This window comes from Homo sapiens, chromosome 20 (assembly GCF_000001405.40).
Source record: "Homo sapiens chromosome 20, GRCh38.p14 Primary Assembly".
In the NCBI taxonomy this organism is placed as follows: domain Eukaryota; kingdom Metazoa; phylum Chordata; class Mammalia; order Primates; family Hominidae; genus Homo; species Homo sapiens.
This window is the reverse complement of record NC_000020.11, coordinates 11,764,182-11,784,677: the sequence shown is the minus strand read 5'-3', so window position 1 is coordinate 11,784,677 and position 20,496 is coordinate 11,764,182. Positions and strand designations below refer to the sequence as shown.

The following is a 20,496-nucleotide window of genomic DNA, read 5'->3' as shown; positions in this document are numbered from 1 at the left end:
AAATGGTTTTAGAATCCATTCCTCCATTTTTCTTTACCTGTGTTTTCCTTTTTTTTTTTTTTTACTGAGAGGAAGGATTCCCATAAGTAAACGAAATATTTTTGATATGCAGCAGATTCTTGATTCTGAAATGAAAGTGTTTTGCTCACAACTGGTGGAGAGAGGACTTTACCAGCCTTAGTTTTTGCCATGCCTGTTAAAGAGTAGTATACCTGTAGCTTCATTACTGAAGAGGTGGGCTATGTTTTAAAATATGTGAATAATTATCTCTATAATGAAATTCTAATGGAAGGGAATGGCAATAGAACTGTATGTAATTAGAAGTCAATCCAGCAAATCATTCATTGATGAAGAGAGAAAGAAAGAAACCCATCAAATAATTAGAATTTACATAAAGCTGTAGTGAGGGAAGTTCATAAACTTTCACAAAAGGCCTACTGTGTGACAGTCACAATACTCCTCCAAATATTACACAACAGTACAGTGGTATTTATTACAGCCCTGTGTAAGAGATGCTGTTGGTTGCCTTGTCTCAAGGTGGGACCAACTCTGCAGTGTAATTCTAGCTCCAGAGCTATTCATAGTATCAGGCAGAAGTTTGACTTTAGCTGAAAGCACACAGCCCTTCTTAGCACCTTCTCCTAACTGTTTTCTGCTGTCTTCACTCCCTTTCTTCTGAGAGCACATTTAACAAATTGTTCACACAAAATTCCCCATCTCAAGCTCTGTTTCTTAGGATTCTGACTTCAGATACTCCATTTTATTAATGGGATTACTGAATTTAGCAGAGGTTAGAAACTGATCAAGGTTATCCCAGATTGTACATGAAAGATCTGGTATAAAAACCTGTCTTAACTTTCCCAAGCGATTTCTTAGTGTAATTTTTATTGAGAGTTGGCGGCTGAGATAACTAAAACACTCTTCCGTCTGTCTCTGCATTTCACTACCTAAACTGAGCTGGTGAGCACAAATTAAGTCTTACATCTGAATTGCTGCCTCCAGGTGGTCAGTATCTCTATTCAGATGTTGAAGCCATCTCAAACGCAACATATCTAAAACTCCACCCTTTGTTTTCCCTGAAAGCTGCCCTTTTTGCAGCCTGCTCTATCTCATTTGATGGCAACTTTATCATTCCAACTGCCCAGCCAAAAACCTTGGAGGCGCCCTTGATTGCTGTTTTTCTCACATGCCCTACCTCGATTCCACCAGAGAATCAATTTTGTTTCTTGACATTCAAAATATAGTTAGAATCTGACCACTTCTCTCCACCTGCACTGTCATCACTCTGGTCTGAGTTGCCATTATCCCTTGTCTGGGTTGGTGCAAAAGCCTGTTAACTGGTCCCCCTCCCTGTGCTACATACAGTTCATTCTCAACACCACAGCCAGAGCAATCCTCTTGTTAGGCAGATCACTCTGCTGGCTCTCATTTCCTTCAGGGTAAAAGGCAAGGCTTAAAGTGACCTACAAGACCCTACAAAACAGGACTTGCTCCAAACCCACTACCTCTGTGATATCTCTCCTATGGCTCTTCCCCCTCACTCTCCACTCCCTTTTCACTGGCCTGTGCTGTTCCTCAAACACACTGGACATGCTTCTGCAGAAGAGCCTTTCCATGGATGGTTCTCTCTGCCTGGGCCACTGTTTCTCGAGATATCCGTATGTCTCCCTTTTTCAACCTCTTTGGGTTTTTGCTAAAATATGAGTTTTCTATTTAAATGGCCTTAACTCGAACAAACAAATGATTTCTTTATCATACTTTACTTTCCATTTTTTCTATAGCCCTTACCTTCTTCCAATATAGGATGACGATTATTTATTATTTTTAAATATTTTACCCTTCCCTCCACTAGAATCTAACCTCATGAGAGCAGAGTCTTTGTCTGCTTTTGGTCCCTGATATGGCCCATGTGTGCCTATAATAAACCAGCACTCAGTAGGCACTTAATATTTGTTGAATGAACTTTCCCTGTTTCAGTTTGAGTATCAGCCTTTTGATCAATGTGGGAGCTGTACAGAATAATATTTTGAAGTTGAACGACCAGGGAAATAACAAGCAAAAATTTCCCCAGTATATGATTATACTATTGAGTTCACTGAAGTAGAGAATGTGCTTGTGAACACACACATACAGGTGTGCTCATAGGGACACACACACACATGCATATACACACACATCTTTTGCTCCTGTTATCAAGTTGTTCTTTTTCCTTTCCCTTTAAGGTAAAACTTCATCCTTGAAGCATTGAAGAACTGCATCACATATCAATCAAGGACATTGGAAAAATCACTTTTATTTGATTAGCAGCTAAAGAAGAGCACAATAGAAAATCAGTTACTTAGGAAATTTCAAATGAAACACCTCAGGTGGTCTATTTTAGGATGAGCTAACCACCTTAACTCATCTGAAAATTTAAAACAAATATTTTTTCCCTCTTAGGTTAGCATTTTCTACTCTGTCAAATGACATTTTGTCGTTCCTACACAAAATGGGAATACACACTTCATGGGGTGCTACAAAGTCCACATTCCCATGGACTAAAATGCTAATGGCCTATTTCCATCTTGCTTGCTCATCAGTGTAGTCCCAAGCTGCTAAGGAAGTGATTATATCATAATAAATCTCTTCAACTTCATAAAAAGACATGTAAGCATATATATGGATTAAAAAGAAAACATTGGAGGAAGCCGGCTCAGAATATGACAGTGTTCGCTTTGAGGTGCAGGCCTCTGGGGAATTGAGGTAGATTTCTGGTGCACACCTCTTCTGAAGATTTCTACAGGCTCCGGAACACTTTGTGTTTTGTTGAACAAAGGTTTCAATTCCCTTCAAAGGTAATTCTTCAATTTTTAAAATTAGGATGCTTCCTTCAAACTTTAATATTCTTTCACCTTAAAGAAAAAAGTAATACCCTAAGGACTTAAAATATCCTATTGTGGACACTTTACTTCTTCAGTTGTATTTTTACCACTTAGATAACTGTGAAGTTTGCTCTTTCATCCATTTCCAGAAGAACATGGAATACAAGTGATATGATTGTTCTTTTGGATAAAACAAGTTCTGATTGTTTTTGGAAGGTTATAATGTGTTGGTGTCATCACCACTTTGTGACAAAGCCCGAGTGGTCCATTGGTGATCAACAGTGATGGCTGTCCCGATGAAAGTGAAATCCCTGTCTATTGCTAGCACAATATTGAATCCAGAGCCTAACGTATTCCTGACTTCTCAAGCAATTGGCATTTACCCCAAAATAGCTTTTTAAAAAACGAGTGATCATTTATAGTTGGAGGTCATGCTCCATAAATATAAAAGTTCTGTGCTGCAGGCACGTTTCAGAGTAAAGCCTGGAACTCCTCATTTGTTGGTAAGATCTTTCAAACTGCTAACGGCAGACATTTCAAACTCATCAAAGTTTTAGAGAAATAAGGTAGTTTCCTTTCTGACACCATTTCTTTTTGCACATGCAGCATTTCACAAATGCAAAAACTTCAATCCTTACCCCAAATGAACATAGTGAGGGTGACCTTGAAAATATTGCTGAACTTGCCATTTACTTAAGCAGAGAGGATGCACCCCTCTGCTCCCTGCCCCATACACACCTTAATAAAATAACTAATGGCTTCAACAAAAAACAATATTAACCAGACAGGGTTAATGATTGAGGGGAGAGAGAGCTAACCATTATGATTAATAATGAAAGTTTTGGGATGAAAGATGTACACATATTCTGAAGTTGCTATGACTGTACATGCAAAACAAAACCAATACAGAGTTTTGTGTTTTGCTAAAAAGAAATACAGACTGTGAGGATCTGTTATGTTGAGCTACCATTTAGAAACAATCAATTTGAAAGGAGAAGTTTATTGTATATGACCTGGAATTCTTCCCTTCTGAAAACAGGTGCAGAGAGGCTATGTCTATGTGAGATGCATAAATATATTTTTGAGGACATTTTTTCTTCCTACTCAGATACTTATTTTTATTCAAGATTTTTACATTGTCAATTAATTGCTAACTTCACTCCCATTCTTTGCTGCAAGGAACTGCTTTTTCATTAATAGGAGGAAGAAAAGGAAAAAAGACCCCACAGCTGCCCAAGTGGTTAAACTAAACATTTTCTGCTATCAGCATCATCTGCCAAAAATAATGTCCAACATTATATGAAGAAAAAAGAGAAATGTATTTGGAGGTTTGAAAACAATCAAAACATTTTTGCAATACATTATTTTTTGAGGAAAAAAAACAAAGAGATGCTTGCTTTATATATATAAATCACAGCCACGCATATACAAATACAAATAAGTGTTTGCTTATCTTAGTTCCTGAATTCTTCCTTAGCTAAAAGTTCATTTCTCCTGAATGTATAAGGGTCTTTAGATTTCTAGAAAGCTCTTCAGTGAATGTATCAGTACCCTTATTAAGATTCTAATGGGGCCGGGCATGGTGGCTCATGCCTGTAATCCTAGCACTTTGGGAGGCCGAGGCAGGCAGATCACCTGAGGTCAGGAGTCTGAGACCAGCCTGGCCAACATGGTGAAACCCCATCTCTACTAAAAATACAAAAATTAGCTGGGCGTGGTGGTGCATGTCTGTAGTCCTAGTTACTTGGGAGGCTGAGGCAGGAGAATGGCTTGAGCCCAGGAAGTGGAGGTTGTAGTGAGCCGAGATCATGCCATTGCACTCCAGCCTGAGCAACAGAACAAAACTCCATCTCAAAAAAAAAGAAAAAAGAAAAGAAAAGAAAAAAAGGAAAAAAAAGATTCTAATGGTTACCTAAAGATTACAACTATGTCCCTAAATTACTATTTTTACTTTTGTAAGAACATGGTTTACACATAAGAAGATGTACCTTCAAATTTTTCTGTGCACCAATACTTTTCTTCTCCTTTTTAATTTTTTTAAACTTTAAGGAACAAAGAAAAAACAATTTTGCAATTCTCTTAAACTATAACTGTTTTATTAGTATATATTACAGCCATAGCTACTTAATACTAATTTAATTAATTAATATTTATTGTCTACAGAGTTCAGGAGACTACCACAAAACATAAATGAAAACCCGAGAAATCATATTTAATTGGTCAGCAGATTGCTCAATGGTAGAATACTGGTTTTTTTTTGTTTTGTTTTGAGACGGAGACTCGGTCTATCACTCAGGCTGCATGCAATGGCACGATCTCGGCTCACTGTGACCTCTGCTTCCCGGGTTCAAGCGATTCTCCTGCCTCGGCCTCCCGAGTAGCTGGGATTACAGGCGTCAGTCACCACGCCCAGCTTATTTTTGTATTTTTAGTAGAGATGGGTTTTTGTCATGTTGGCCAGGCTGATCTTGAACTCCTGACCTCAGGTGATCCACCTGCCTTGGCCTCCCAAAGTGCTGGATTACAGGCATGAGCCGCTGTGCCTGGCGGTAGAATATTTCCTTAAAATTAAAATTGCTAAGTTTGTCTTCTTTTCCAACTGTTACAGTAGGAAGTAATTATTTCTTACAATTCACCTTTGTTTTCCTCTTCTTTGGTCCTCAATTACAACTGATCTGGTAATAACTCCTGTGGAAAAACATTATCAAAATTGTTCCTAGCACAGAAGTTGATTAATATTTTATTTATCTTTTTCCATGACTCTTTAAAAACTTGTTTTTCCCATTTCATAGAGTGCTGTGTCTCAACGTGGTTGCCATTTTTCTAAATTCTACTCACCCACCCTGAAATTTTGGCTCAAAAGCAACTTTCTCCCAGGAGTTCCTTTAACCATCCATTTCCTCTCCCATGCCAGAGTGACCTGCCCTTCCTTCACTGTTATCACATAGAACATGAACAATACTTTCTGTATACCTTGAATTTTCTCCCATATTTTCGGCTCTGCCACATTATGTACATGTTCTTAGTATACTGCATACTTTTGGAAGGCAGAGCATATGTCTCATGCATTTCTGTATTCTCCACTCCATTCAGCAAAGTTCACTGTATAAAGGAAGCTCTCTGCATATGGATGAAGAATAAATATATTTATGGTACTCATGATATATTTCAATTTTATACATAGGAACACATTGGGGATTAGGACAGGGTAGATTTCAAGGTTTTTCATGAAAACTATAATTAATATAGTCTTAATATTCTGTATTTCTCAGATTAAAAAAAAAGACACAAAAGTTCTGGTGACATAAAGAACGTGAGTTCAGAACACACAACTAAAAAAGGAAACTTCCCAACACCATAAATACCAATCACGTTTTGTTTGTTTGAAATTTCCTACTCTGCAGTAACAGGAAAAGGACTAGAGTTGAGAGTTCTTTCGAGATACAATCACTTCCTGGTAAATATAATACGAAAATGTATTTTAAACTGCTATAGAATGGTGTTTAATGAATAATGAATGCCCTTGAAGGAACACAGGACAGTTTGTTCTAAGTGAAACTAAAATATAATTGAGAAACAGAAGTGGTTTTTTACTCGGTACCTCTGCTTTTTTTTATTATTATTATTAAAAGAAGAGAGATGCGGAATGTCAGGAATTGTTTGTAAAATTAGCACACATTCCTTCCATTCACACAGAAAACATCTGACCCACAAGTGGCCCCAGTTTGCTCAACCCAGTTGGCTACACTATGGATAAAGTGTCTGCTCTTCCAGAGCATCCTGCCTGCTGGAGACAGAACTCCGGGTAAGCAAAGTTGGATGGTTTTCAAAACTGTCGTCGCTGGTAGATTTACAGTCACAAAGAGGCTGTCATTAAATTTAGTCAGTGACCCTGAGTTTGGAACAATCCCAAACTGGTACTCTCACCCGGGAGTGGACCAACGTCTAAGGAGCAATTAGGGAAAAATAACAAGATTGAATTCTGGCATGTGGGGTGAGAGGTGAGTGGAAAAGAATTGAAATGCTGATTGGACAATGGTAGATAATTTAGTCTAACAAAAGAATGATTTCTCTTTGTGAGCAGTCATAGAGTTTCTCAGCAGTGTCAGCCGCCAGCGACATTATCGCAGTCGGTCTTCTCAAAGTTGAGAGTGCATCGCAGTCACCTGAGGATCTTGTTAAAATGCAGATTCTGATTCAGTAGGTCTCAGCTGGGGCCTGAGATTCCACATTTCTAACCAGCTTCCAGGTGACGCTGATGCTACTGGTTTGTAAAACACACTCTGATCTGAATAGCAAGAGTCTAGAGCTGCATTACCTAACACAGAATGTAAGCGCTGCAGGGGATAGTGAGCACCGCATTGAGATGAGCTGTAAGTGTCAAATGTACATCAGAGTTTTCAAAATTAAGATAAAATTTCAATACCAGAAACGTTCCCCATTTAAAGCACAGTTCAGTGATTTTTAATATATTCACAAGCTTGTGCAACCATTACCACTACCTAATTCCAGAACGTTTTTGTTAACACTAAAAAGAAATCCAGTACACTTTAGCTATCACCTGCCCATCCCCATCCCCATCTCCTCAGCCATCACTAATCTACTTTCTTTCTTTGAGGGTTTGCATATTCTGGATGTTTTGTATAAATAGGATCACATAATATGTGGCATTTTGTATCTGGCTTCTTTCACTTAGCATAATGCTTTCAAGATTCATCCATATTGCAGCATATATCAGTACTTTCTTCTTTTTTATGGCTGAATAATGTTCCATTGTATGAGTGAATACACCACATTGCATTTTTCTATTCACTTACAGACATTGGGTTGTTTTCACTTTTATGGCTATTACAAATAAGGCTGCTATGAACATTTTTACACAAATATGTTTGTGAATATATCTTTTCAATTTCTTGGGCAAATGCCTGGGAATGGAATTGTTGAGTCATATGGTAACTCACGTTTAAAATTTTGAGGAGCTATCAAGCTGCTTTCCAAAGTGGCTGAACCATTTTAGATTCCTCGTAGCAGTGCACAAGGGCTCTGCTTTCTCTATACCCTCACCAACACTTGTTTTTGTTTATCTTTTGTTTACAGTCATCCTACTGGGTGTGCTGTGGTATCTCATCATGGTTTTTGATTTGCATTTCCCTAATGCCTAAATGATGTTGAGAAACTTTCCACGCACTCATTGGCTATTTGTATATTTTCTTTGGAGAATACACATCAGACTTTTTAAAAAAAATTTAGAGATTTTACTCATTAGACTAATTTTAGTTTTACAGAAATATTGGGTAGATAATACAGAGAGTTCTCACCCAAACAATTAACCTTATTATTAATACCTTAAATAGTATAGTGCATTTGTTAAAATTAATGAACCAATATTGATACATTTTTATTCCCTGAAATGCCTATACTTTATTCAAGCTTTCCTTAGTTTTGGCTTAATGTCCTTTTTCTGTTTCAAGATCCCACCCAGGATTCTACATTACATTCAGTTGTTTTATCTCCTCGGGCTCCTCTTGGCTGTGACAGTTTCTCAGGCTTCCTTATTTTTGATGACCTTGACAGTTTGAGGAATATTGGTCAGCTATGTTGTAAGATGCCTTTCATTGAGGTTTGTCTAATGTTTTTCTGAGGATTAGACAGAGGTTATGGGTTTTGGGGAATAAAAGGTCACAGAGAAAGATAATTTCAGCATAACAATGGTACATATAATACTATCAACATGATTTATGACTGCTGATATTGACCTTGATCACCAGGCTGAAGTGGTATTCATCAGCTTTTTCAGCAAGATTATTCTTTCATAAAAAACAATATTGTTAAAGACTCATGTCAATTTATTTTATACTTTGAGGTATATAGTATTCTGTTCTCACATTGCTACAGAGAAATACCTGAGACTAGGTAACTTATAAAGAAAAGAGATTTAATTGGCTCACGGTTCTGCAGGCTGTGAAGGAAGCATGATGCTGGCATCTGATTGGCTTCTAAAGAGGCCTCAGAAAACTTACCATCATGGCGGAAGGTGAAGGGGGAGCAGACACATTACATGGCCAAGGCAGGAGGAAGGGGGAGTGAGTACTACACACTTCTAAAAGACCAGATCTTGTAAGAACCCACTACCGAAAGGACAGTACCAAGAGGATGGTACTAAACCATTCATGAGAAACCTGCCTCCTTGATCCAATCACCTCCCACCAGGTCCCAACTCCAATATTAATGATTGCATTTGGACATGAAATTTGAACAGGGGCAACACCCAAACTGTATCAGGGTATAATCCAATCCTGTTTTGTTACCAAAATTATTTCGGCGGTGCCATCGGACAAACTCCTATCAGTGTGAAGTTGTTTCTTTTGTTGTTGTGGGGCGTTTTTGTTTTTGTACTTCTTTACTTTCTAGCACTACAAAATAAGATAGGTGCAGGGGCGGGGGGGCGGGGGTGCACTAGCTATGAATGTTACTACTGTAGTGTCCTTTCCTATAGGCCCTCTCAGCTCACAGAGCAATAAAGTATATACACATATACCAAACATCGAATATACACATATCTGTAAATATTTCTATATGTAACCATCTGTATCTAAATTTCAGGTGATAGTAAATATACACAGGAGTTCATATTGATGTCTCCAACTCTAGTCTATTACCATAGGGATCATGTTAGCCTTCTCCCTTTGCTTATCTGTGAGCACCTACCTCAGCCATTCACTGACTTTAGTTATTCAATTTTAGGGTAAATTATAGCAGTGGCAGAACTGTTAACCTGTGTCTCCTTAGGGAACAAGTTTACCAACTAGAGTGCAGTTCTCTTGTAGAGTCACTCTTGCCTTTATCCTTAAAGGCTCTATACATTTTCAAAGTTACTTAGGTCAGCACCATTTTCCCCACCCCTAATGTTTGAATTTGTTTCATACATTTGTAATAAAGTTATATTGTGTTGTCACAATCTGTACTCTTTTGCTGCAATTCCAGGATCTTCTAAATAATCATTTAAAATTTGCACATATCAAATATCAGTCTTTGTGCTATTAATTTCCATGGGTATGACAAATGCATAATATCATGAATCCACTATTATAGTATCATACAGAATAGTTTCAACTGCTCTAAAAAATCTTGCTCTTTTCATCTTATTTATCCCTCTCCCTCTCTCAACGCTGGCAGCCACTGATTTTTTTTTTTTTTTTTTTTTGCTTTCTGTATTAGTTTGCTGGGGCTTCTATAATAAAGTCCTTAGACTGGTACTTTCTTCTAACAACATAAATTAACTTTCTCACAGTTCTGGAGGCTAGAAGTCTGAAATCAAGGTGTTGACAGGGGTGGTTTCTTCTGAGGCCTCTCTTTTGTCTTGTAGTTGGCTGTCTTGTCCCTGGGCCTTCACATGGTGTTTCCTCTGTGCATGTCTGTGTCCTGATCTCCTCTTCTTATGAGGACACCAGTCATATTGGATGATAGCTGACTTTAATAAACTTATTTTAATTTAGTTACCTCTTTAAAGACCCTGCCTCTAAATCCAGTCACATTCTGACAAGGGTTAGGACTTCAACATCTGAATGTTGCGGGGAACACAATTTGGCTTATATCATTGTGTAGTTTTACCTTTTCCAGAACACCACGTGATTGGAATTATATAAGGTATAGCCTTTTCAGACTAGCTTCTTTTACTCATTAACATGCATTTAAGATTTTTCTATGTATTTTTCTGGTTTGGTAGCTTATTTCTTTTCATGAATAATATTCTGTTTCATGGGTGCATCAAAGTTTATCTATTTATCCGTTCACCTATTGAAGGGTATTTTAGTTGGTTTTAGCCTTGGGAAAATAGGAATAAAACTGCTATAAATATTTGTGTATAAGTTTTTGTTTAGACATAAGTTTTCCAATAAATTGGGTAAATACATAGGAGTGCATTTGATGTATCTAATAATAAGACTATGCTTAGTTTTGCAAGAAACTGCCAGAGTGCATGTCAAAGTGTCAGTATCATTTTGCATTTCCATCAGCAAAAGAGTTTCTGTTGCTCCACATACTCATCAACATTTGGTAATATCAGTTTTCTGTATTTTATACATTCTAATAGGTGTACGATGATATCATTGTTGTTCTAATTTGTTGTTTAATTCCCTAATAAAAATGATGTTCAGCATCTTTCCATATGTTTATTTGTCATATCTATATCTTCTTTGGTGTGATGTCTGTTTATATTCCTTGCACATTTTGAAATTGTGTCGTTTGCTTTCTTATTGTTGAGTTTTACAAGTTCTTTATATATTTTTAATACAAGTCCCTTATATGTTCTGCAAATATTTTATCCAAGTATTTCTTTTCATTCTTGTATCTTTCACAAAGCAGAATTTTTTCCACTTTAATAACGTTCAACCTATCAAGTTTGTGTTTGTTTTTGTTTTTTTCATGGATCATGCTTTTGGTGTTATATCAGAACCTCACTGCCAAACCCTAGGTCACCTAAATTGTCTGTGTAATCTAATGATGAGTCTGTCAAAGACATTCTTCATTTCTATTATAATTTTTTTTATTTCTAGCATTTCTTTTTTATTCTTTCTTAGAATTTTCCTCTCTGTGCTTATATTACCCGTGTTTATTTATGTAGTCTACTTTTTCCATTAGCGATCTTAACATAGCTAAAGTATAATTAACTTATTAATCAGTGATTTTAAATTCCTTATCTGATACTTCCAGAAATTTCTGTCATATATGATTCTTGGTCTGATGCTTACTTTATCTCTTCAGACTGTGTGTCTGTGTGTGTGTGTGTGTGTGTGTGTGCGTGCGTGTGTGTGTTTGCCTTTTAAAATGTTTTTTGTTAAAAACTGAACATAATGTATTGAGTTATGTGGTAAATAACACTTTAGTGTGATGTTTTTATGTTTGAGGTTTGTTTAATGGTTGTTGCAGTTTAAGGTTGTTGTAGTTTAAGGTGTAGTTTAATGGTTGTTGTAGTTTAAGGTTTCTTTTAGTGTTTCCTTTTTTCTCTTCTTTGGTATTTAGGTTTTCCTAAGAACTCCTTTTAAAGTAAGATCTGTGTCTTTTATCTCTTTCAGCTTTAATTTACTGTTATGCTGGAGCGCTGTTGTGGTAGACAGTGAACATTCTCTATAATCTTATCACTAAATCTCAGTCTTCTAGTAGTTCTGAGCTCTTGGACTGTGAAGTCCAGAAGTGTTTGTCAGTCTTTTTAAATTTCTTTTTCCTCTTAGGTGAGACAGGAAGGCTAGAGGGGCTAGAGTTGAGCAATTGCTATTTTACTGGGAAAGATAGGGCTCTGGTACAGTTTTTTCTCCTGGAGAATGAGGCTTTGTTATGGAGCATACTCTAGTCTATTTTAGAATGGCTATGTTAGCCTAGTGTCCTGTCATTCCAGCTCAAGTGCGTGAATGGTGAATGAGTCCTCCAGTAATTCCAGCCCCCAGGCTTTTTCATTTTTCCAGTTGAGGCCCAAGACATCATAAAATAGACAAGCCATTCCCTCTGTGCTCAATCTGAATTTCTGATTTACAGAATCTTTGAGCAAAATAAAATGGTTGTTTTAAGCTTCTAGGTTTTGGGATACTTTATTATGCAACAACAATAACTAGAACAGAGCCATCGGAAGCTTGGAATATGACATAATTGAATTTATATTTTAAGAAGGCAACTCTGGCTGTTCTACGGAGAATAAACTATAGCAAAGCAAAAGTGGGTGGAGAAAGTTGAGGCTATTATAGTTGCGCAGGAGAATAAGGAGAGTGCATTGGGTAGGGTGGTTTTGGTATATAAGACAGAAGATATGGTAGGATTCTGAGTATAGCTTTAAGATGAGCCCAAAAAGATTCGTAGATAGATCATGGGGTACAAGAGAATGATACTAGTCAAGAATGACTCCAGGGGTTCTAAACTGAGTATCTGGGAGATAATGGAAGGAGGAGCAGGTTTTGAACATATTATGTTTATGATTTCTAGTAGGTACTCCTGTGAAGATTAGAGTTTTGAGATATACTTACATGTGACTGCAGCTTAGGGTAAAAGTGGAACTGAACAAATAAAATTGACAGAAATCAAAACATAAATGATGCTTACAACTATATGGTTGAATAGTATAATTTAAGAAATAACCATAGTTAGAGAAAACATAATGTCATTAAACTGAGCCCTAGAATACTCTAACATGAAGAGGAGGAACGGGCTCTAATATGAAAGGAGACCACAAAGTAGCAGGAAAACCAGCAGATTGCAATGTCCCAGAATCGGCGTGGAGAAAATGACTTACGGAAGACAGAGTCATCCAGTGATTTAAATGGTGCTTGTGGATCCAGTGAGTTTAGGAATGAGAGTCAACCATTGCATTTGGCAATGTAAAGAGAAATGATATTGTATTTAAAGGGACATATGGGGTTGAAGGAAATATTGTTGAAACCGAGATATGTTACAACATATTATAGAATGTTTGTATATCCTGAGAATAATTCAATAGAAAGGGGGAAAATTGAGGATGCAGAAATGAGACAAACACCTGGAAGAGTTAAATACTTGGATGAGCAAGTAGTGATAAGGTCCAGAATCCATGTGGAACAAGGAGAAAGAAAGCGTCTTCCAATAGAGGGGACTGAACACACAGGCTCTGAGCAGAAATATTGGTAAATTGGATTTTACAGAAGATGGAGTTCCCTTTGATTGTTTCATTTTTCTTATTGAAATAAGAAGTCACACATTGATGGGAAGGAAGGGGCTGGGAGCTAGAAGTGAGCTTACTGAGGAGGTGTAAAATAGTTATCTCAAAAAAAAAAAAAGAAAGAAAAAGAAGAACAGATTGACGAGGGAATTACAGAATTTCTGGACATCACTTAGGTAGCCACTGAGGTCAGCAGTCATGAATATAAGATGAGGCCATTTGGTAGTTTTTCTCCTACCATGTTCAACTATTTTTTGAGAGTCAGTGCAGAGAATTTAAACAGGACTTGAAGTTTCCTTTCATGATTACAATAGAGGGAGAGGGTGAAATAATAGAATGAAAATGGCATGGATTAGATTATTGTTTCCAGTTTTCACTTTCTCCTGTAAATAGGATTATACATCTACACCTCTTGCCATGTGACTTGTAGCATCTGCCACTAACCATTGTCTTCTTGACCAAGGGCCCAGTCATATGACTTTCTTTGGCCAATAAAATAGGAGGAGATGCGATGTGAGCAGAGACTTTACAAATGCTTGCATGTTTTGATGGCTCTGCTGAGCTGTAATTACCAGAAGAAAAGCCTGCTCCAGGCAGTGTCCTGTCCTAGAATGAAGCAATGTGTAGTAGACCTGAACCAAGCACGCAGATTGATGCACAGCTGCCCAGTTGCCCTGCAGATACATGATTCAGAAATAAATGCCTCTTCTCATCCGCCACAGTGATATATGCGTGTGTGTGTGTGTGTGTGTGTGTGTGTGTGTGTGTGTGTATATATATTTTTTTTTTTTTTTTTTTGAGACAAGGTCTCCTTTGTCTTCCAAGCTGCTATGGCATGATTAAGGCTCACTGTAGCCTCGACTTCCTGGGCTCATGTGGTCCTCCTGCCTCAGCCTCTTGAGTAGCTAGGACTATAGGTGTGCAACACCATGCTTGGCTATTTTTTTTAATTTTTTTTTTTTTTTTTTTTTTTGTAGAGATGAAGACGCACTATGTTGCCCAGACTGGTCTTGAATTCCTGGGCTCAAGTGATCTTCCTGCCTTCGCATCCCAAAGTGCTGGAATGTATTTGTTATGCAATATTATTTCAGCAGAATTCTGATTAATACAGGAGAGAATGATCACACATATGAAAGTATGAGGGTGTCATCATAATGATGAATGGACTCCAAGCCAGAGGAGGAGGGAAGTAAAGCCATGAAGGAGGAGACAGACAGTAAAGAAGTGGCAGTGTCAATGGATTAGAAGTCACATCACAGAGTGAGGGAGTCCGGCTGTTAGAAGGGGTAAGCTGGGAAGACAGGAAGTAGTGTTTAAAGAATGGGATGCTTAAACTTGAGATTTGGACGTGGCAAAGTTATTGGTCTTGAGAAGAAAATGACAAGGCAGAGGGCATGGTCATGGAAATGCATGGCTGAGGTGGGGGGGCAGTGCAAGGGAAGATTGTGCAGGACGAGCACAGCAAACATCTGAGAGGTCCGAGTGACGGGCAAGTTATAATGCATGGCATCAAAATGACCAGGAATGATAACTGGAACGACGTTGGAGCTCAATAAGTAAGGAGATTGTTAACATCTTCAATGAAGGAAGAAATTTCTGCTAGAACTGTCCATGGCAGCAACAAGAAGGGGTAGCAGATGGTGTAGCCTAAGCAAGTGATTCACAAAAGACCAGACTTGTGGCTCACACCTATATTCCTAGCACTTTGGGAGCCCAAGGCAGAAGGATCTCTTGAGCCCAGGAATTCAAGACCAGCCTGGGCATCATGGTGAGACCCCCGTCTCTATAAGAAAATTAAAAATTAGCCAGGCATGGTAGTGTTTGCCTGTAGTTCCAGCTACTCAGAAGGTGGGAGGATCCCTTGAGACTGGGAGGTCAAGGGTACAATGAGTGTGATTGAACCACTACACTCCATTCTGGGTGACAGAGCAAGACCCTGTCTCAAAAAAAAAAAAAAAAAAAAAGCGAGAGAGATTCAATGATACAGTTGTCTAAGGAGAAGACAGAAGAGAACAATTATTTGGAAGCAAGTGAAGAGGAGTAGAGATTCTTCCAGATTCTTCCAAATTCAGCAGTAAATAGAGTGATAATTTTAAAATTGCAGCTAGTCCTGGCGATGGCTACAGGGAGAAGTAGTCTTAGGAGACCACATGGTTCCAAATAGAGCCAAATAGGGAACAGGATTTGTTTCAGAAAGACGTGGCTGTTGGAGGTTTGCTGTTGATGCACTGTGTAGGTTAAAGATGACAGAGGAAGGGTTAGAGGATCAGAAAGAGATTAGATTGGGTTAGATAGGAGGATAAATGGGGTTAGTTAAGGATGAGTGCCCAGGACATGCAGGATAACCTGGACATTTTTGGCAATCAAAGTAAAGAGGAAAACAAGGCACAAGGGGATTGTTTCTGTCATGTTTTTGTGCCTGATCTCTCAGGCAGTTTTTAGTGGAGTGTGAAGAGGGACTTGCCGAGCATTAAGGAGGATCTGTGGGGTCTCCTTAGTACACAATATCAAGGCAGAGGGAGGTGGATTTGCCAGGACTTTTTGATTTCTTGCAACACATCTGAAATTAGGCAAAATATCTCTTCACTGATCCTTACTTAAATTCTATGTTTTTTTCCCTCTTCTCTCTCCTGTTCCTGTCTTACCTCTCACGTCTGCTATCTTTGAGGATTTAATTTTTTTTCCTCTCCTCTGGACAAGGAAATGTACTCATGACAGGGTTCAAGAATCAGATATTACTGTTGTTATTCTATTCTTAATTATGACAAATTACCAGCTGCTCCTTAATCTCTACTGAACATCTACTATGTATCAGGCATTGTGCCTACTGCTTCATTCAAATTATGTTGTGTAAACCTCATGGCAACTATATGAGGGGAGACAATTGCTCTTATTTTATAACTGAGAAATGGAAACTTTGAGGACTTCAGTTCTGTATCCTGGGCTACTCAGATGATATGAGCTTGAATGAGGGTTTATACCTGGGATTCTAGGCGCTGGGTCCAGAGTGATTCATTAATCTAACCTGTGGCTGATTGATCTGTGGAAGTCTGTGGATAATTCTTAAATTGGGGCATTAGCAACAGGTGGAGAATTATCCCCTCCTCTGTGCCATTTCTTTTTTCACACTAGATTTGTCTTTATGGTGGCTCAACCCGTGGTGACTTCAACTGCATAGGCATCTTTTTTCTCCTTTGCGCCAAAAGGTCAACTTCTTGTTGAACACTGCATCTGGCAAAATTCTCTGCACACAATAAATGCTCAAAAGAATGTATTAGTTGCATGAATTAAGAGTTACCCAGGCACCTAGTTAAGTCTTCACCCTTAGGCATATATTAAAATCAATCAGGGAGTTTTTAATTTTTAAAAAAGTCCCAATGCTCAAGTCACACACTGGAGTGATTTAAGTTAGAATCACTCATGCTGGGCCTAGGCGTCAGTATTTTCAAAGCATCCCAGGTTATTCTTCTGGGCAGCCAAAGTTACAAATTCCTGCTCTGAGGGAGGCAGGCTAATAGTTGCTGGTTCTGCTTAAGATATAATTGCATTTCTATGATATAGGATGTGAGATGCAAGAAGCAGCAAGTGCTATAGTAACATCCATGTAAAAAGATGTGGAATGTTAACTCTGGGCCTTTTCTCATTCCACACTATTTCCCAGAGGCAGGGCTGTCATGTAAACACCTTCTTATTCCATTTGATTTTGCCACTGTCTTCTTGTTTTTGCCACTTCGACCAACTACCTGCATCTAGTTTTCACTTGATTTGCGTCCAGTTCTGCCTTTGCTGCCGTGAGCTTAGTTGGCTGCTTAGTAGACACAGTAATCACTCCCAGGAATTGCATTTGAAAGCAGAATGAAATCTTCATAATTTGCACTATTCCGAGATGCATTCATCCTAATGGAGGTGACTGAGTCATTTAGGCTGAATTTGAGAAGCATTCTTGGCTTTGTGTGCTGAGTCCTTCTAAGCCACCTGGCAGTTAGTGACGCTCTTCAGGCAGTGCTAGCTGGCGCGAGCTGACAGGGAGCCTCAAAAAAAAAAAAGAGAACTGAAGCAACCTTTGCCATTAGAACACTCAAGTATTTGTCCGGGGGAAGCTGTAAAGAAGAGCCCACATTTATACATGTGAAAGGGATCTTAAGTGTTGGTGGTAGGAAAACACTCAACTAACTATAGGGAATTTGTTTCTTTGCTCCTTTGGGCTGTTCTTAACTCTTTCTGGGCCTCTGGCAGATTGATTTCAAGGACTTGCCATAATTATTCCCTCCTTCTCTGTATTCACATTATTTGTAAGACTGTGCAGCTCCTCCCATCCCAAAATAAAGTCTATTTCCCCCCACTCCTGGAATCTAGGTTGGCCTCATGACCGGCTATGAGCAATAGAATTCAGTGGATGTGATGCTCCAATTCTGAACTTATCCTCAAGAAGCTTTGCACACATCTTGTAATCCTGAGCTGCCTGCTGGAGTGTAAAAACTGACATCGAGAGAACACAGTTGTCTCAGACCATTCTAGACCAGCCAACCTACTGACCTCAAACATGTCAGAGAGTGCAGCTATGACAGCAGAGTGCCTATGTGACCCTGTATGAGGCCATTCTTGCACTATTATAAAGAAATACCTGAGACTGAGTAATTTATTTTAAAAAAGAGGTTCAGTTGGCTCACGGTTCTGCAGGCTTTATAGGAAGCATGGTACTGGCATCTACTCGGCTTCTTGGGAGGTCTTAGGAAGCTTACAATCATGGTGGAAGGTGAAAGGGGAGTAGGCATCTCACATGGTGAGAATGAGAGGAAGGCAGGGGTAGGGGGAGTTACCACACATTTTTAAATGACAGCACTAACGGGACGGTACTAAATCATTCGCTAGAAATCCAGCCTCACGGGCTGGGCGCAGTGGCTCCTGTCTGTAATCCCAGCACTTTGGGAGGCTGAGGCGGGAGGATCACAAGGTCAGGAGATCGAGACCATCCTGGCTAATACGGTGAAACCCTACCTGTACTAAAAATAAAAAAATAAATAAATAAAAAGTTTGCTGGGCGTGGTGGCTCGTGCCTGTAGTCCCAGCTATTCGGGGGGCTGAGGCAGGAGAATTGTTTGAACCTGGGAGGCGGAGGTTGCAGTGAGCCAAGATCATGCCACTGCACTCCAGCCTGGGCAACAGAATGAGACTTCATCTCAAAAAAATAAAATAAAAAGAAACTCAGCCTCACGATCCAGTCATCTCCCACCAAGCCCCACCTCTTATACTGGAGATTACAATTCAATATGAGATTTGGGCGGGGAAAAATATCCAAACTATAACTGACCCGATATGAATGCATGGATCCAACCAAGACCAGAAAAGCTGCCCAGGTGGCCCATAAGCTCATGAGTAATAATTCTTATTATTTTAAGCCATTGAGTTGTGGGGTTGTTTGTCAACAGCAAGAGTTAACTGATAATGACCTCAGTTATTTTGCCTTTAAGGGAAGGGTAGTGATTGATATCTAAGGCACAGTGGTTTTAACTGAGGCTGTGCACTATAATTATCTGTGGATATCAATCAACCTGTTCTGTTTCTATTACAGACTAACTGAAGCAGGGTGACGGCTCCAACTTCTATGTGCTAATAAATTTCACAAGTGGCTCTGATGCACAGCCAGAATGAAAGAATTCCTTCAAGGTTTTCTTCGGGCACTCAGAGTGTATTATTCTGAGACACCTTTTTAAGGTTATACTCTACTCTAAAGGCACATAGTAAGTAAAGGGCCAGATAAAGTTGGAATTACATTAGGCCATCTGCAGAAAGAAGGAACCCAGACTCCATAGTGAACTCAGGAAAAGGCAACATGCCCTGAGCCTGAGCACACTTACTGGCATATTACTTTTCTTGAAGATCTCTGTGTTGGCCAGTAACTATTTTCTTGTAAAAATAGAAACTCACTGCATAAGTAAGTGAATTTATTCCATGGATTCAAGAAATTCTCTCAGAATGCATGACAGAAAATACAGCCGAGCTTTGCCAGTCATGGACTTGGAGATCAGTGGCATCAGGAACCCAGGATATCTTGCTTCCTCCAGCACACTTTCTACTTCACCTTACCTCTCCCACCACAAGAATTTCCTGGTTCCTCTGTACACATCTTTTATTTTCTTTTCTTCCTTTTCAAAGACTGCCTTCCTCTGATTGCCCATTAGCCCCTACAGAGAGATTCAGCCCTGGAATTTACCTGACATTCCAGTTGCATGGAACTTAATCTTTTTGTGTCCTAATTACAAACTGCCAGGAGGAGAACTCTGGTTGGTCCACTTCAAATTAGAAGTGCAAACTGGGTCAAACCATCCATGACAGGGAGTGCTGCCATGTTCTCTAGGGCTGCCCCTCTGGACCTGTCTGAGAACAGGTTCATAAACAATAAATCATGGGCTGAGGGGAAATGGTTCATGAATGTAAGGAGTTTTTGCCAGGTTTGTCAAAGATCAGATGGTTGTAGATGTGTGGTATTATTTCTGAGGGCTCTGTTCTGTTCCATTGGTCTATTTCTCTGTTTTGGTACCAGTACCATGCTGTTGTGGTTACTGTAGGCTTGTAGTATAGTTTGAAGTCAGGTAGCATGATGCCTCCAGCTTTGTTCTTTTGGCTTAGGATTGTCTTGGCAATGTGGGCTGTTTTTTGGTTCCATATGAACTTTAAAGTAGTTTTTTCCAATTCTGTGAAGAAAGTCATTGGTAGCTTGATGGGGATGGCATTGAATCTATAAATTACCTTGGGCAGTATGGCCATTTTCACGGTATTGTTTCTTCCTATCCATGAGCATGGAATGTTCTTCCATTTGTTTGTGTCCTCTTTTATTTCATTGAGCAGTGGTTTGTAGTTTTCCTTGAAGAGGTCCTTCACATCCTTTGTAAGTTGGATTCCTATGTATTTTATTCTGTTTGAAGCAATTATGAATGGGAGTTCACTAATGAT

At 38.9% G+C, this 20,496-nt stretch overlaps 3 annotated features.

The window, feature by feature from the left end:
* Positions 762-1,691: an enhancer, noted in NCBI's record as "OCT4-NANOG hESC enhancer chr20:11763635-11764564 (GRCh37/hg19 assembly coordinates)". NCBI's record gives its function as "activates a minimal SCP1, AML or CMV promoter by ChIP-STARR-seq in primed H9 embryonic stem cells {active_cell/tissue: H9 hESC(primed)}" and the evidence as "EXISTENCE:reporter gene assay evidence [ECO:0000049][PMID:30033119]".
* Positions 17,368-17,906: an enhancer, noted in NCBI's record as "OCT4-NANOG-H3K27ac hESC enhancer chr20:11747420-11747958 (GRCh37/hg19 assembly coordinates)". NCBI's record gives its function as "activates a minimal SCP1, AML or CMV promoter by ChIP-STARR-seq in primed H9 embryonic stem cells {active_cell/tissue: H9 hESC(primed)}" and the evidence as "EXISTENCE:reporter gene assay evidence [ECO:0000049][PMID:30033119]".
* Positions 19,441-19,999: an enhancer, noted in NCBI's record as "OCT4-NANOG hESC enhancer chr20:11745327-11745885 (GRCh37/hg19 assembly coordinates)". NCBI's record gives its function as "activates a minimal SCP1, AML or CMV promoter by ChIP-STARR-seq in primed H9 embryonic stem cells {active_cell/tissue: H9 hESC(primed)}" and the evidence as "EXISTENCE:reporter gene assay evidence [ECO:0000049][PMID:30033119]".